This window comes from Homo sapiens, chromosome 3, assembly GCF_000001405.40.
Source record: "Homo sapiens chromosome 3, GRCh38.p14 Primary Assembly".
NCBI classification, from domain to species: Eukaryota; Metazoa; Chordata; class Mammalia; order Primates; family Hominidae; genus Homo; species Homo sapiens.
The window spans coordinates 40,610,512-40,625,624 of NC_000003.12; the positions used below are offsets into that span (position 1 = coordinate 40,610,512).

Sequence of the window (15,113 nt, forward strand, 5' to 3'; positions counted from 1 at the left end):
AATCCCACTGAAAATAGGAATACAAATATAAAGTCCTTAGGGATAAACTCAGCAAGAAATATACATAAACAATATATAAGCTTTAGATAACAAAAATTCTCTGAGAGACATAAAAGAAAACATAAATAATTTAAGGAACATACCAATTTGAGAGTGGGAAGACCCAGTTCTTACGTGTATCAGTAGTTTCATATTAATTGTTGAGTTGCAATTCTGTTAACTCTATGTCAACATATTTTTAAAATCAAGAGAATACATATTCATAGGATGACAGTAATCCTCAAATTAATTATTTGGTGATTTCTTTTAACTATTATATATTTTTATTATGGGTTTTAAAAATTGAGGTAATACATGTGTTTGGTTAAAAAAATCAAATTAAACAAAAAGACTTATAAAGAGAAACAACTCTTTCTTGCTTCATCCTTCCCATCATGAGCCCCATTCTTCAGAGACAGCCTGTTTTTTTCTTCTGAGATAGGGTTTCTGTCCCCCAGGCTGGAGTGCCATGGCACAATCATAGCCACCGCAGCCTTGACTTTCGGGAGGCTGTGTTGTATACTGCCTCAGCACCCCCTCCACTGAGTAGCTGGGACCACAGGCACATGCCACCATGCCCAGCTAATTTTGTATTTTTTGTAGAGACAGGGTTTTGCCATGTTGGCCAGGCTGGTCTCAAACTCTTGGGCTCAAGCGATCTGCCTGCCTAGGCCTCCCTAAGTGCTGGGATCACAGGCATGAGCCACCATGCCTGGCCCAGAGACAGTCTTTATTAACACTTTTAGCTATTTCTTCTGAGCATTACCTCCCTATTTTTAAAATATATTTTGCCACAATTTATAGATTGATCGATTCTAGACATTAATTACTGACTTCTTCCTATGACAGATGAAGATTTAATTCTCTTCCACCACCTCTGCATCTCTCCTTAACGCTCAATACAATAATATCATTCTTCCCTTTTTCTATGGGTTACATTTGTTACTTTTAGTGATTTGTTTATGCTTTTTTTCTAATTTGGTCAATAAGAGCATCTTCTGACTCCTCATCTTGTAAGATGAAGGTGCTATCATCCCCCACAATCTCCTACCCCTTTCCACTCTCATTATCTGTACTTAGATGTCTACGTTAAGGTGGAGGATGTTTTTATCGTGTTATTTTACCCTAAAGTCTTTTTGTTTGTTCTTGTTCAACTTTAAAAGTTGACAATCAGTAAATAGGGATTACATGGCTGTGACTATGGAATCATAATTCACTTCAGAGCCAACTAGTGCACTGTGAGGACAGTGCTTTCATTGAACAGTATTTTTTTTTCTTGCTGGAGTTAAAAAAAGAGATTTTTTCTTTTGTTTTTTCGTTGTTTGCCTTTATTGTCTTTTTAAGTCTAAATTGTCATGAAAATGACACAAATCTCTCCGACTCCAGCCCCCAGTTTGCCTCTTGTCTCCTGTTTGGGCTGATTGCTCATCTTCCCAAGACTTCCCTCCACACTTGCTGATGCCTGGCTCTCCTGGTCCCCACAGGCCACATTTACACCCTTATTTTGTTGGGCCTTATCTCCTCATGACTTTCCAAGCAAAGACAGATAGGAAATAATTTTTCTCACTTTTACATAACTAAAATTGACTTTATTCCACTCTAATACCAAATGGCTTTAACTTTTGTTGATGATCTTTGCCTGAATCCTTTACTTCGTTTAGGGCTGCAAACGGGTGATTTTCGAATTCCTTGGTTCCTTGCATATTTATTAGCTGGCATTCTTCTGTAAAGATGATTTTTTCATCATCAATGAGGTGTAAACTACTATTCCTAAAAGTGGGGAATTGCTTAATCCTTTTTTTTTTCCCCAATTTTCAGGGTAAGGAGTTGATGAAAGTGTCACAGGCCAGTTTTTTTTTTTTTTTTTTTTTTTTTTTTAATGTCAAGTGAACATATATATGAAACAGAAAGCAAAAGTTGGGTTGCCCTCCTATTGGGCCGACACATAAGCAATCCTCTGTGATTGACGGATTTCCTCCTATTTGGGAATCAAAAGGACAGGGAAGGTTGGAGGGTGCTGCACCAAACAAATTCAAATCCTAAACCCTTGCTCAGCACAGGTGGAGGAAGAGGACAGACCTTACCAACTGGGAAGGCTTCCTGACCAGCCTCTCCCAGCAGGAGAGGCAATGCACAGGAAATATCCTGGGCAAAAACTCTACCCATTGTAATGCTTGTGTTTTAAATTTTCATGCCCCAGATGTTTTTAGAATAATTGCTGTGCCTAGTGAAGCTGTGCCTGCCTCCGCAAAGGCAGTCCCTTCCCTGAGCTTCCCGTAAGCCCCATCCTCTCATGGGGCTTAGGTAAAGGAAGAAGATCTCAAATGACTTCCCAGTCCTATTTGGTTAATCTGTTGTGCTACGATGAATACCCCTGGGTTTGGAGTTCACTGAAGCTTCGCAGTAAAACGAGAAAGGGAGGACATTTAAAAGGCTTCATAATCCTCTTGTGTCTTGAAGCAAAGATTGTAATTTCTGGTTCAAAGGAACCACAGCACAAACCATCTGCTTTGTTTTGTTTGTCCCAGGGGAAAACATATAACCAACACAATAATACAACCTCTGGTTCTGTTCTGGACCCTGTGCTAGGCAAGGCAGCCATGGAGATGGAACGCAGATGTGGATGTGTAACCATATTGACGGGGGTAGAGAGTCATTTCCCTGCAGTCCCTCAAGAGAGCGTTTCTGCAAGCAAAGAGTTTCCCTATCAGGAAAGTGATGAGGTGGAACTGGGCAGAAGTCCTGTTCACAAAATGTCCTGTACAGTGTGGGCACAAAATAGGTATCTATAAATATCACCTTCACGCCCACTCTGTCCCCCACAAAGGCAATCTCTACAGTCTCCTCTAGATCTGCAGTTCTGCGCCTCCATCTGCAAAATGGACTGATAGGGAGGATCGAGTGGAATGCTTGGAGTGGAAGTAGAGAAGTAGATAGGAAAGCTCTGTGCTCACAGGCAACGAGTTTAGTAGTGCCCCTTATAAATGAGAAAAGCTTTGGAGAAGACTCTTGGCCCAGAACCTCCCATCCCTACACATGTAAAGGGGAGCATTTCTTTCTTTTCTTGTGGAAGGAGGGCACTGGAAAGGCAGAGCTGGAGGTGGTGGTTTGGAGTGACCACAGGGACCGCAGGCCTTCCAGATACTCTCCTGGAAGAGAAAGCAGAGTCTAGAAGGCCTTATCTCCAAGGAGGAATGGCTTCTGCTTCTGGAATTCGGTCTTCCCATGGCTCCCACTTGCTTTGCTATACATACATATATATATATATATATATATATATATATATATATATATATATATATACATACACACACACACACACACACACACATACACACATATACATGGCTCCCATGCCAGTCTTCCCATGGTTCCCACTTACTTTGCTATATATATATATATATATATATATATATATATATATGTGTGTGTGTGTGTGTGTGTGTGTGTGTGTGTGTGTGTGTGTTTTAGTTTTAGTTTTTGGAGACAGAGTCTCACTCTGTTGTCCAGGCTGGAGTGCAGTGGCAAAATCTCAGCTCACGGCAACCCCTGCCTCCCAGGTTCAAGCGATTCTCCTGCCTCAGCCTCCCAAGTATCTAGGACTACAGGTATGCACCACCACGCCCAGCTAATTTTTTGTATTTTTGGGAGAAATGGGGTTTCGCTATGTTGGCCAGACTAGCCTCGAGCTCCTGAGCTCAGGCAATCCGCCTGCTTCAGCCTCCCAAAGTGCTAGGATTAGAGGCATGAGCCACCGTGCCTGGCCCCATTTTGCTATTTTTTTTTTCCTTTCAAAATGGATCTATTTTTTCCTAAGACTTGAACATTATTTTAAAAAATTCAAACCCTACAGAGAAAGTTCAGGTCCTTCTATCTCACGGAGGAAACTACTATTAACAGGCAGATCTACAGTCATTCAGACTTAAAAGATAAATATGTAGATATCTGAATAACTTACATTTTATTACATAAATGGAATGTCTTTGATTCTGCACCCCCCAACAACATACATATACATTTCTCCCCATTGTTGGTGTAACCTGGTGTCCCTAACATCTCTCCAGGTCTGCCCACATTTAAACAGAATTTGATCCTCTGGAGTTTCAGAGTCCCTTTCCTCTTCCTGGCTGCTCCAAAGATTTGACACTCCGCTCCATCTGGGACTCCTTGTGGAGTTATTGCCGACTTCTCACCTCAACACACTTCCCAGGAAGCAGAGTTGTGGATGCGTATGTCTATGTTTTAGCAAATATTTTCCTCTCCAGGGGCACAAACCATGGTGACATTTTGAGAGAGAGAGAGAGAGAGAGAGAGAGAAAGAGAGAGAGAGAGAGAGAGAGAGAGAGAGAGAACATGCACAGCACCAAGACCCTGATTGTTTGGGGACGCTCACTATTCATGAAATGCGCTTCATGGTTCTCTCCCCAAGAAGGTAAGTCTGAGAAGTTCATAACCGGCCCTCTGCTCTGGCCTTTTTTTCCCCCTTCCGCTTTTCATTTTTGATTAAAGCATAACTGAGATACAGTAAAGTGCACACATCTTCTATTTACAACATCATGTAAATAATATTGTAGCTGTCTGGTGTCAATTTTAGACTTAAGGGATTTTGATCTTTCAAGATTTCTATGTTTGGGATTATGGCCCAAACCCTCAGCTATCTGTGTAACCATCACCCAGACGAAGGACTGGACATTCCAGCAGGGTGCTTCCTCTTCCTGGCCTCCTTTCCCACTGGCCCACGTTGTAGAAGTTCCCGGGGTGCTTGTTAGGCCACCACTGTCGGCTGGGCCGCTCCTTTTCCTATCCCCAGACATCGCTTCCTCACTTCCCCCAGCACCTTTTTCGAAGAAGTCACTACCCTGACAAAAACCAGACCCTTTCCTTCAGCTTCTTGGTTCTTCCCAGCTTCATTTTCCCTGCATCCTCACTTAGTCCTGGACCCAGATGCAGACCAAAGCTCCCAGCAGCACCCCCGCCTGCAGCCCTGACATAGTCCAGAAAGGGTTAAACCCGGGCAAGCACCAGCTCCACGCAGTTAATCCGGGATTCTCGGCACTGATCTCTGTGCCTGTCATTTGCATTTCTCTTCTTTGTGCAGGCTTTTCTTCCTCCCTTTCCCGGGGCCCAGGCGCCGGCATTAGCATACTGCGCCCCGCGCGCCTGCTGCAGGGGGCCCCCCGCTGTGTGCCAGCCTGCGCAATCTGCAGGCGCCATCAATTTTTCAGCACTTTTCTCATTTCTCATTACCGTCAGGCCCATGCGGCTCCCCGCTCAACACCCTCCTCGGCCGGCCGGCCGCACTGCCGGGGAGCAGGCCAGGGGCTGTCATGTCCCTGCCGACCCTCCGGAGCACGCACTTGGTTGTTGAAACTCCCACCATAATTAATCACAGTATTAATCCTGGCCAAGCCTGTCTTCCTGAATAATTATGTCAACACGCTTGGGTGCCTGTGCCCGACAGAAATTTTACCAACCTTGAGAACTAGACTATATCCCTGAAGCCAGGACTGCCATGGGGGCTCGGGCTCCCTGCCTGCCCTCTGCGGCACACTCACAGCATGCACACACATACATGCACCTGGCCTGCTCGCACACATGTACAGGCACACACACTGCACAGAACCATAGGCGTTAGAGAGGAGCAGAATGCTGAAACTCACAGTAGACAGCATTTCTTTTCAAACAAGCAAGCATGGCCACACAATGAAGTTATCTTTAGGTAGCCAAGTGGGCGGTTGTCATAGCGATGTGTGCATTATTAAGAGAGTGTTGTTCATCCTGGCAGCTAATATCATAATGAGGTTGGCTCATTATCAGGTTGAGCCAAAGTTGGCTTTTGCTCTCCTTTTTTGCTGGGGCCTGGGGTCCAGCGAGGTCTCGATTCCACCTCCAAGCTGGATCACCGACTCCCAGCATCTGTCTTTTATTTGGTTACCCCAGCTTCCTTCTGTGCTCTTCTAGGGGAGCAGATAAAGGAGGACGGCTGGGCGGGGCTCCTGGTGCCTTCACCTAGTGTTCGTCCTGTAGCAGGGTGCCTGCTATAGTTTGTGAAACACTTAACAGCACTTGAGAACTATGTTGTCCCAGGCAACTGGGACATGTGAGATTAAACCGCAGATTGGTCTGCAGACAATCAGCTACTCTGCTTTCCTTCTGCACCTGTTTCTTTTGCCTACTTGGTTCCACGAAACCAGCTGTAAGGACCAAATGGTACCTTTTGTGTCATGATCACCATTTAATGGGAACTTCTTAATTCCCAGTGTTCACTGCAATTTTGTGAATTCCAAGATTCGTGAAAAGTCTACCTGTCACCTCAAGTTCAGGTGCCTGGTGGCTGTTTCACCTTATGACCAGATGTCCAGTTAATTTTAAATCAATTTGGAGATTGTTTGCCATTGCTTTCTTTGTCTGTCTCTGTTTGGGTTTTTTTTATAGGATGCTACAATGGTCTATTTGGCTCAAATTTAGATTTCATGCTGCATGTGATTTTCATTCTTGCCTCATGTTTTAAAAAATTAAGTTGCTTCTAATTTTCTCACTGTTTGGGCCAGCAGAGCATCCTCTTCAGAAGGAAAGGAGAAAGCAAACAAAATAATCTTGCTCAAAGCTTCACCAGGGAGATGGTGGCCACTGCCTGAGAGGTGAGTCAGGAAAAGGAAATGGTTTGTACCTTTATCACTAAGTGTCCTGTTGCGGTGAGCAAAGATGTGCCCTCTCAGGTACAGCCCTTGGTGATGCCCCCAGCACTGCCCTTGCAGACGCCCCCAGCACTGCCCATCTTCAGTACACCCGTTCCTCCAGAGCCTTTGGCAGTGTTCTGCAGCCCAGTGAAGGGATGGCATTTTATGGTAGGTTTTCTTAGAGCACAGTCCACTAACATCAGAGTCACTTGAGGACTAATTAGAAATGCAGATTTTGGGGTCCCCTGACAAACTGTTCCTCAGCTAAGCATGATGCACATCGATTTTTTTTTTTATGAGCCTTTTTGGTGTGTTTCATTTAGTAGTGTTTTTCCTTGTCCTTTTTCCTTTTTAAAAAGTAATATAAGGATATCGTAAAGCTGGTTTAAACAATGAAAAGAGAAAATGGTTTCTAGTCCCCGGTCTGTCTCCTCGGGGACTCCTATACTTTTCTGTTTTTATTTTGTGTGTATCTTTCAGAGATATTCCTCACATACATATGTATATAAATTCTCTTAAAATCCACAGTGGCAGCTTCCTAAATACACTGTTCTGTCACTTGCTTTTTTTTTTTTCCCCTCTATGCAATATATCTTGGCTATGGTTTCATACCAGCATATTAAGATCTTCCTCATTTTTAAAAATGACTGCACAGTACACTTTGTATGGGATGTAGCATGTTTTATGGGTTTTGAACAAAGCTGGTGTCTGCTCCTAATCAGGTACCTTTCTCTCCTTAGGCTTTAAGAATATGGTCTCATAAATCTGCAACAACCCTTGGCAAAAGAGAGACTTTTTTTTTTTTTGGCCCTATTTTAACCATAGGATAGCCCGTCTTGGTTTGGGTTCACCAGAGGTAGAAGCTGACACCAGGATTCCAGTGGGGGTAATCTGGAAGGTGATCATAGGTAACACCTGCAAGTGAGACAGGGAAGGAAGTCATTAAAGGGGGTGTAATCAAGCAGGTTACCACTGTGGGCAACTGGGGCTTAATTCTTCAAGGGCCACTCCAAGGCAGTGCAGAGCATGCCTTGGGGTTATTCCACCTGAAGTGTGGTGGAGCTGGCCACTGGTGACTGACAGGTTGCTTGTGGGAGTGGGGGTGCTAAATTCCCCTACCATTTCTGGCCTGCCTCACAGGGTATGGGGACTCCATTGACCAAAGAAAAACCTTAGCCCAAGAGATGCAGGTGCCAGTAGCTGGAAGTTGGGCAGTTGTGCACTGAAATGGTAAGGGCAAGGGTTATGATTGTCATACCAACAGCAGTCACCACACAGCTGGAGGCTAGAGCTTCTAGATTCATCTATATACTTAAGAAGAGCAATGGACATGGATGCAGTGCCAGAAACACAGACTGTTTTCCTAGCTCTTCTCTTATGGTGACTTTGGGTGAGTTGAGTCATTCAAGCTTTTGGAGCTTAACTTTCATAATCTGGAATATGAGGCTAGTGGCACTCACTTCTCAGGATAACTTTGTGGACTAAATGAGGATTTCCAGTTTTGGAAAAAAGATTTCAGAGTCCTGAGTGCTAGTGATTACTGCTACTATGTAGCAGCCAATACCCAGGAAAGAAGGCCATTAACATCCTTCAGAACCTACCCAAGATCACCACATTTGGTGAGATCAGAGCCCCCATTCCCTGCACTCATGCAAGTTATTCTCCAAAAATGCCAGAAGTCAAATTCAAACCAATCTAAATGGCACCAGGATGCCAACAAGAAGAGGAGGACAATGCTTCCCAGGGACATTCCTTCCATCAAGAGCACAGCAGACAGACCCTTTAATTCTGCAGTAGCAGGAACATCATGTTTGCTTTTCTGAAACAGCCTAGATTTTAGAGTCAGAGAGGTTCTTCGGAGTCTCGCTGTATTGCTCATCCAGGCTGGAGTGCAGTGGCGCGATCACGGCTCACTGCAACCTTTGCCTCCCAGGTTCAAGCAATTCTTCTGCCTCAGCCTCCTGTGTAGCTAGGACTATGTGGTGGCATGTGCCACCACGCTCAGCTAATCTTTGTATTTTTAGTAGAGATGAGGTTTCACCATATTGGCCAGGCTGGTCTTGAACTCCCGACCTCAAGCAATCCACTTGCCTCTGCCTCCCAAAGTGCTGGGATTACAGGTGTGAGCCACCACACTTGGCCAGAAAGATTCTTGAAGCTTGGTTGGCTCATTGGTTTCAAACATTTTTAGCCTTCAAATTCATTCTTTTTTCTGTTTATTTTTATTTACTTATTTTTTTTAGACAGAGTCTCGCTCTGTCTCCAGGCTGGAGTGCAGTGTCACGATCTTGGCTCACTGCAACCTCTGTCTCCCAGGTTCAAGCAATTCTCCTGCCTCAGCCTCCCGAGTAGCTGGACTACAGGCGCCTGCCACCACACCCAGCTAATTTTTGTATTTTTAGTACAGACAGGGTTTCACCATGTTGGCCAGGGTGGTCTCAATCTCCTGACTATGTGATCTGCCCACCTCAGACTCCCAAAGTGCTGGGATTACAGATGTGAGTCACCGTGCCAGGCCCAAATTCATTCTTTAAAGAGAATGATACTCAGAAGCTTTGTCTAACAAAAGTGGAGGGCTCCTTGGGTGTGATTTGGTGGGGATCCAGGCCCTCTCTCAGATCCTGCCACACCCACCTCCTCCTTTGTCCACACCAGCAGGCCTTAGGCTCCCCCAGGCTCTGCAGGTGCTGTTTAAAAAACAACTTGTCTGGTACATCCCTTTTCAATGAACAGAAGAAGAGATAGGGCACATGGTGACTTCATGCTGGGGCTTCTTTAAATGGGTACAGGGAACCCAGGCCAAGGCACTTTGGTAGGGTGAAAAATCCTTGTCAGGGCTGTAAGACCCCCATCTTGGAGAGGATGAAACTGGTGGCGACCTCCCCCCATTGCTCTGATTCTGTGCTTTAAGGATAGGTTTTTGGGTCCTTTTGCCTCTGATCCCCTTTAACCCCTCTCCTAAGCTTCCAGTCTGGCACCAGGAGCTTGTCAACTCATTTCCTGTCTAGCTGAGCATGCTCCTTCCCCCATTACCCTTTGCTCTCTGGCACATAGACCAACAGAGATTCCTACTTCCTACCTGGCCTGGAGGCATTGTACTGCTCGGCTCATCTCCCTCCTGCCAAGCCTTCTGCTTAGGAGAGGGGGCAAGATGCCCAGAAAGATGAGGTGACTCGCCTAGTGTAGTCAAGCTGGTGCAGAGCTCTTTGGACCACATGTGATTCTGAGAAGTTTTTAAGCCACAGTTTTCAGGCATCTTCTGTTTTGCCTTTCTTCTTACCCAGATTAGCCTCTTCTAAGGAGGCCCTGTCTCCACTCCAGCAATCAGCCAAATGGCACTGGAGAAGGGCAGATTCTTGATTACTAATGAGCATATCGTTTCTCCAGGAAGGAACAGTTGGAAATGGGGTTGGATGTTGTCATGTGGGTTGGCAAGAACAACACTGATCTTTCTGTTGTAACTCATTTCCTGGCAAGTGGACCCCTGGAGCCTCAGTTTTCTCGTCTGTGAAATTGGCACTGTGACACCTTCCCTCTTGAGTTGCTTTGAATACTACATAGAATGACATATGTGAAAGGACTTTGGAAATAGGAAAGGCTGCAGAACTGGAAGAAATTGTTTTATTATTGTACTTTGTTGATGGCTGTGGAGGTATGACGTTACTGAGGCTGAACACCAGCCTCATAGGGAGCCTGGCATGGTGGGTTGAAAGCACCTGCTTCTTCAGGGAAGCTCACTCTGCCTGGTGAGAGCTGTTCTTTCGCATGCCCACCAGCAATGGGGATGGGAGTCAGTGGATGGGGGATGGGAGTCCAACGGCCCACTGGAAAACAGGCTTCCCATGCTCCAGTGGGAAGATTCTGAGTATGTCCTCCTTGGTATCTTAGAGGTTCCCTGGCAGCATCAGGCCCCAGTAAGCTGCTTATTAATGTGTACTTTACTGGCTTTTCTCCCTTCCCTGCCTCACTTTCCCCTTTTTCCCTCATCCCTATTTCCTGGGGGTCTCCTCCCAAATAAACTACCTGTATCCAAGTCCTTGTTTCACAGACTGGTTTCAGTGGAACCCAAACTAAGATGCACAGCCACTTGGGCAGCAGTGGGAAGAGGGCTGAGAGAGGGTGTAGAAAGATCACAGAAGGTTAACTGTGAGGGAAGCAGGGCAGCAGAGACTAGAGATCCTGGTTAAAAGGCCCAGGGAGGCTATAGGACCCCTAGAAATACCTAACCCCTGCTGGCTCGACGCCAACTGGACCTAAACCTTCCAGCCCTGGCAGCTTGTCTTCAGAGTGTTCTCTGCCTAAGTCCACTGCGAGGCTCACCCATGTTCAGCTGTGGTGGGGACAGAGCACACAGGTGTTTAGTGCCACAGCAGAGGTTCAACATCTCAATTCAGTGCATGCCTGCTGAGCACTGTGCCACGTGGAGCCTCTGAGGCTTTGCCTCTCAGGCATTGGGGAATTCAGGCAGTGGCATAGGCATGGACACACATGGCACATTTAGGGACAGCAAGTGTTCGCTGAATCAAGTGTGGCTGGCCACAGGGAGGGATGGTTGGGGTAAGAGTATTGGGAAGATGAGGCTGGTCAAGAAAATTGGGGGCAGTTTGTAAAGAGTCAAGTGTGGGGCTGAGGAGTTTAGACTTTATCCTGAGGGTAGTTGATGAAAGTTTTAATCAGGGAGGGACAAGTTCAGGGTGGCACACTCATTTTTTGAGATTTCTTCTTGTGTCAGCTACCCCATAAACCACTGATTCCTGGCTGTCCTGAGAACCTCTGGACTTTCACTCTGGCTTCCTAACCTCTTTTATGACCGGATCTTCCCAGGAGCCACTTATGCTAGCGGCTTTTGGTCATATCCTACCTTGTCAAATAGAGAACCTAGGCCCATTTCTTTTCCCATGGAGTTTTTGGGAGTCAGAAAGACCTGAATTCTAATTCCAAGGCTACCAATTTCTGGCTGTGTAACTTCAATATATACATCCATATGTATATCCATATGTATACATCTATATATACACACACACACACATATATATATCCAATATATACATCCATATATATATAGTTTATATATATATATATATAAACTTTTATTTTAGGTTCAGAGGTACACATGCAGGTTTGTTATATTGATAAACTGTGTCATGGGGGTTTGTTGTACAGATTATTTTGTCACCCAGGTACTAAGCCCAGCACTCAGTAGTTATTTTTGCTGATCCTCTCCCTCCTTCCACCATCCACTCTCAAGTAGGTCCCAGTGTCTGTTGTTCCTGTCTTTGTGTCCATGAGTTCTCATCATTTAGCTCCCACTTATAAGTGTGAACATGTAGTATTTGACTTTCTGTTCCTGTGTTAGTTTGCTAAGGATAATGGCCCCCAGCTCCATTCATGTTCCTGCAAAAGACATGATCTCATTCGTTTTAATGACTGCATAGTATTCCATGATATATACATACCACATTTTCTTTATCCAGTCTGTCGTTGACGGACATTTAGGTTGATTCCATCTCTTTGCTATTGTGAATAATGCTGTAATGAACATTCACGTGCATGTGTCTTTATGGTAGAATGATTTCTATTCCTCTGCATATATACCCAGAAATGGAATTGCTGGGTTGAATGGTAGTTCTATTTTTAGCTCTTTGAGGAATTGCCACACTGCTTTCCATCAATGGTTGAACTAATTTACACTCCCACCAACAGTGTATAAATGTGTCCTTTTCTCCACCACCTCACCAGCATCTGTTATTTTTTGACTTTTTAATAATAGCCATTCTGATTCTACAGTGATGGTATCTCACTGTAGTTTTGATTTGCATTTCTTTAGTGAACAGTGACATTGAGCTTTTAAAAATATGCTTGTTGGCTGCATGCATGTCTTCTTTTGAAAAGTGTCTGTTCATGTCCTTTGCCCACTTTTTAATGGGGTTGTTTGTTTTTTGCTAGTAAATCTGTTTAGGTTTCTCATAGATGCTGGATATTAGACCTTTGTCAGATGCATAGTTTGCAAATATTGTCTCCTATTCTGTAGTCAACCAATATTTTTAATCCCTCTGAGTCTTTTTTTCTCATCTGTAAAAAATTCATGTCTTTGATGATTAAGTAAAATAATTCTTAGGCGTAGATCAAAGATTTTATCCTCCTCAACAGATACTAATTTCACTAATACTTTAAAAATACTCACAATGTGGGAGATACCAGGATCATTAACACACATTTTCTGTTTTCTGGCAGCCCAACACCTCATGGGAAGGTCTGGCTTGTAGTTTAACTGATGGTGTATAGTAGGTGCTCAGTTGCCTGTTTGGTCCTTTCTCTCTTCTTGATCACCCCTTTCCTCTCTGGCTCCCACATATGGTTCAAAACCTGAACACACACATTGGCCTGCTCCTCTTCTGGCTCACAAGAGAAATGAATTGGCTGGCAGGAGACCAGTATCCACCTGATGAAGCAATAAACCATGTGGCATGTAGATATTGGCTATAAATAGCTTCCCTTCATTATCTCCTCACTCAAAGCCCTTGCCTTTGAGTACCACGTCATCCCTTGGTGCTGACACACCCAAACCAAAGCCAGTCTCCCTAGCAACTGAACCACAGTCAGTGGTGGTCTGACCACACCCTCTCATGGTTGGCAACCATGCACAGTTCCTCATTTTATTTCTGCTGCAGGACAGGTTGGCTACTGGCTGATCTTTGGAACTAGAAACATCATTTTGCTCCTTAAATGATTAAAAAAGGCACACATGGGGCTTCTTTGTGTTAGTTCTTTTGTATCTCCATATCCTGTCCCTGCATGGATTATTTTGGTGCATGCTGCAGACTTGTTTTTGGAACTTGAATCCTGAGCAAGTGAGAAGACTTACTGGATGCTGTTCAAGGCTCTGCATGACAAACCTTGCACAAATACAAGGTATGATTGCCACTGACAGGGAGGATCATGAGCTAGCTGGGATGTAGGGAAAGATCAGGTGGCAAAGGTGTTTCAGGTGCAGGTGTATCTTGCCCAGGGTGCCCACCTCAGCAAGTGATAACAAAGGCTAGAGTTACAGTGCTAGGCCCTGGACTTAGACTGGGGAGACAAGGACAGGATGATCACAACAGACATTCCTGTTTAAAAAGGGGAGGAAAAAGAGAGACATAATAGTCACTGGTCCATAGTAATTCTGAAATCTCACAATAAAGAAAAAGAGATGGGGAGAGAGAAAGTCTCATTTCTTTAAACAGGAGGGTGGTGAATATGTATAGAAAAGGGGAAAAATGATTACATTTTATCTTCCTGAATCTTCTGGGCAGACCCAACTTGCCAGCTAAGGTGATGTCATCGTTGTGGCATCACAACACTTCTAACAGTGTCCCAATCTGGCAGGAGCTGTCATTGAAAGCAATCACTGGGGTTTGGCAAAGTGAGGTAGGTGGGGGCTCTACCCTCAGCAGTGACCAGCAGGTTGAAAATGGTTTGACCCAGGCATTCCTAGGAAAACCGGTAAAATAAAATTAAATGTGCATGTTTTGGTTCTGTGTGGTACATGGATGTCAATAAAGTGATTATTTCATACCATATTTATCTGACATTGGCTGGTGCTTGTGGGTTGGTACAAGTGACTACTCCCAGGGAGAGCAGTAAAAAGGCATAAACAGCATTATGGAAAAGGGAGAAAGGACAAGAAGGCACACAGGAAAGGGGCCCACTGGGATATGGGGGATAGGGATAGGAATCTCTGATTCTCCATAAGAGCTCAAGGGGTGTATGTGTGTGTTTGTCTGTGTGTGTGTTTTGTGGGTGTCTGTATGCGTATGGGTCTCTGCAGGTATATGTGCCTGCGTGTGTGTGTGTGTGAAAGCATCAAGAAATAGCAAAAAGAGAAGTTCTGTTGTTGAAGGAGACATTCCAGAGTGAAGTCATGGATGAGGCCTGTGTGGGGAAGGTGGGAGGCAGGACATAGGGTCTAGGCAGGCTAAGGGAGCAATGCAAAGAGAAGGAAGTGAGGTGGGCCTGTGAGATAAAATAGGGGTTTTTTTTTTCCAAGAGAAAAAAGTAAGCCAGGGACAACTACAGTCTAATTTAGCCTTTCTGGGCTGGGGCACTTGTGTGGGAACCAGTAGGCAAGGATCTATGTGGTCCCCCAGGCTAGGCTGGGTGGACCCAAAGGAGTGCCTTGCTTCTATGTTCTTCCTACCTTGAATGGAGAGGTGATGCTTGCAGCTGCCGCAACCATATCTTGACCAAGAGACAATAAATCACCAGTCTAAGTGGAGCATAGGGAAAATAAAGTAGAAAGATATCTGAAAAATGCAACTTGGGGGCATCAATGAGCCCTGAACTGCTACCTTAGATTACCACGCCTCCGCCTTTTTTTGTGTTTCTCTGCTGACATCAAGAAATGACTACAGC

General features: G+C 44.7%; 2 annotated features.

The window, feature by feature from the left end:
* Positions 4,927–5,454: an enhancer, noted in NCBI's record as "H3K27ac-H3K4me1 hESC enhancer chr3:40656929-40657456 (GRCh37/hg19 assembly coordinates)". NCBI's record gives its function as "activates a minimal SCP1, AML or CMV promoter by ChIP-STARR-seq in naive and primed H9 embryonic stem cells {active_cell/tissue: H9 hESC(naive and primed)}" and the evidence as "EXISTENCE:reporter gene assay evidence [ECO:0000049][PMID:30033119]".
* Positions 5,455–5,982: an enhancer, noted in NCBI's record as "H3K27ac-H3K4me1 hESC enhancer chr3:40657457-40657984 (GRCh37/hg19 assembly coordinates)". NCBI's record gives its function as "activates a minimal SCP1, AML or CMV promoter by ChIP-STARR-seq in primed H9 embryonic stem cells {active_cell/tissue: H9 hESC(primed)}" and the evidence as "EXISTENCE:reporter gene assay evidence [ECO:0000049][PMID:30033119]".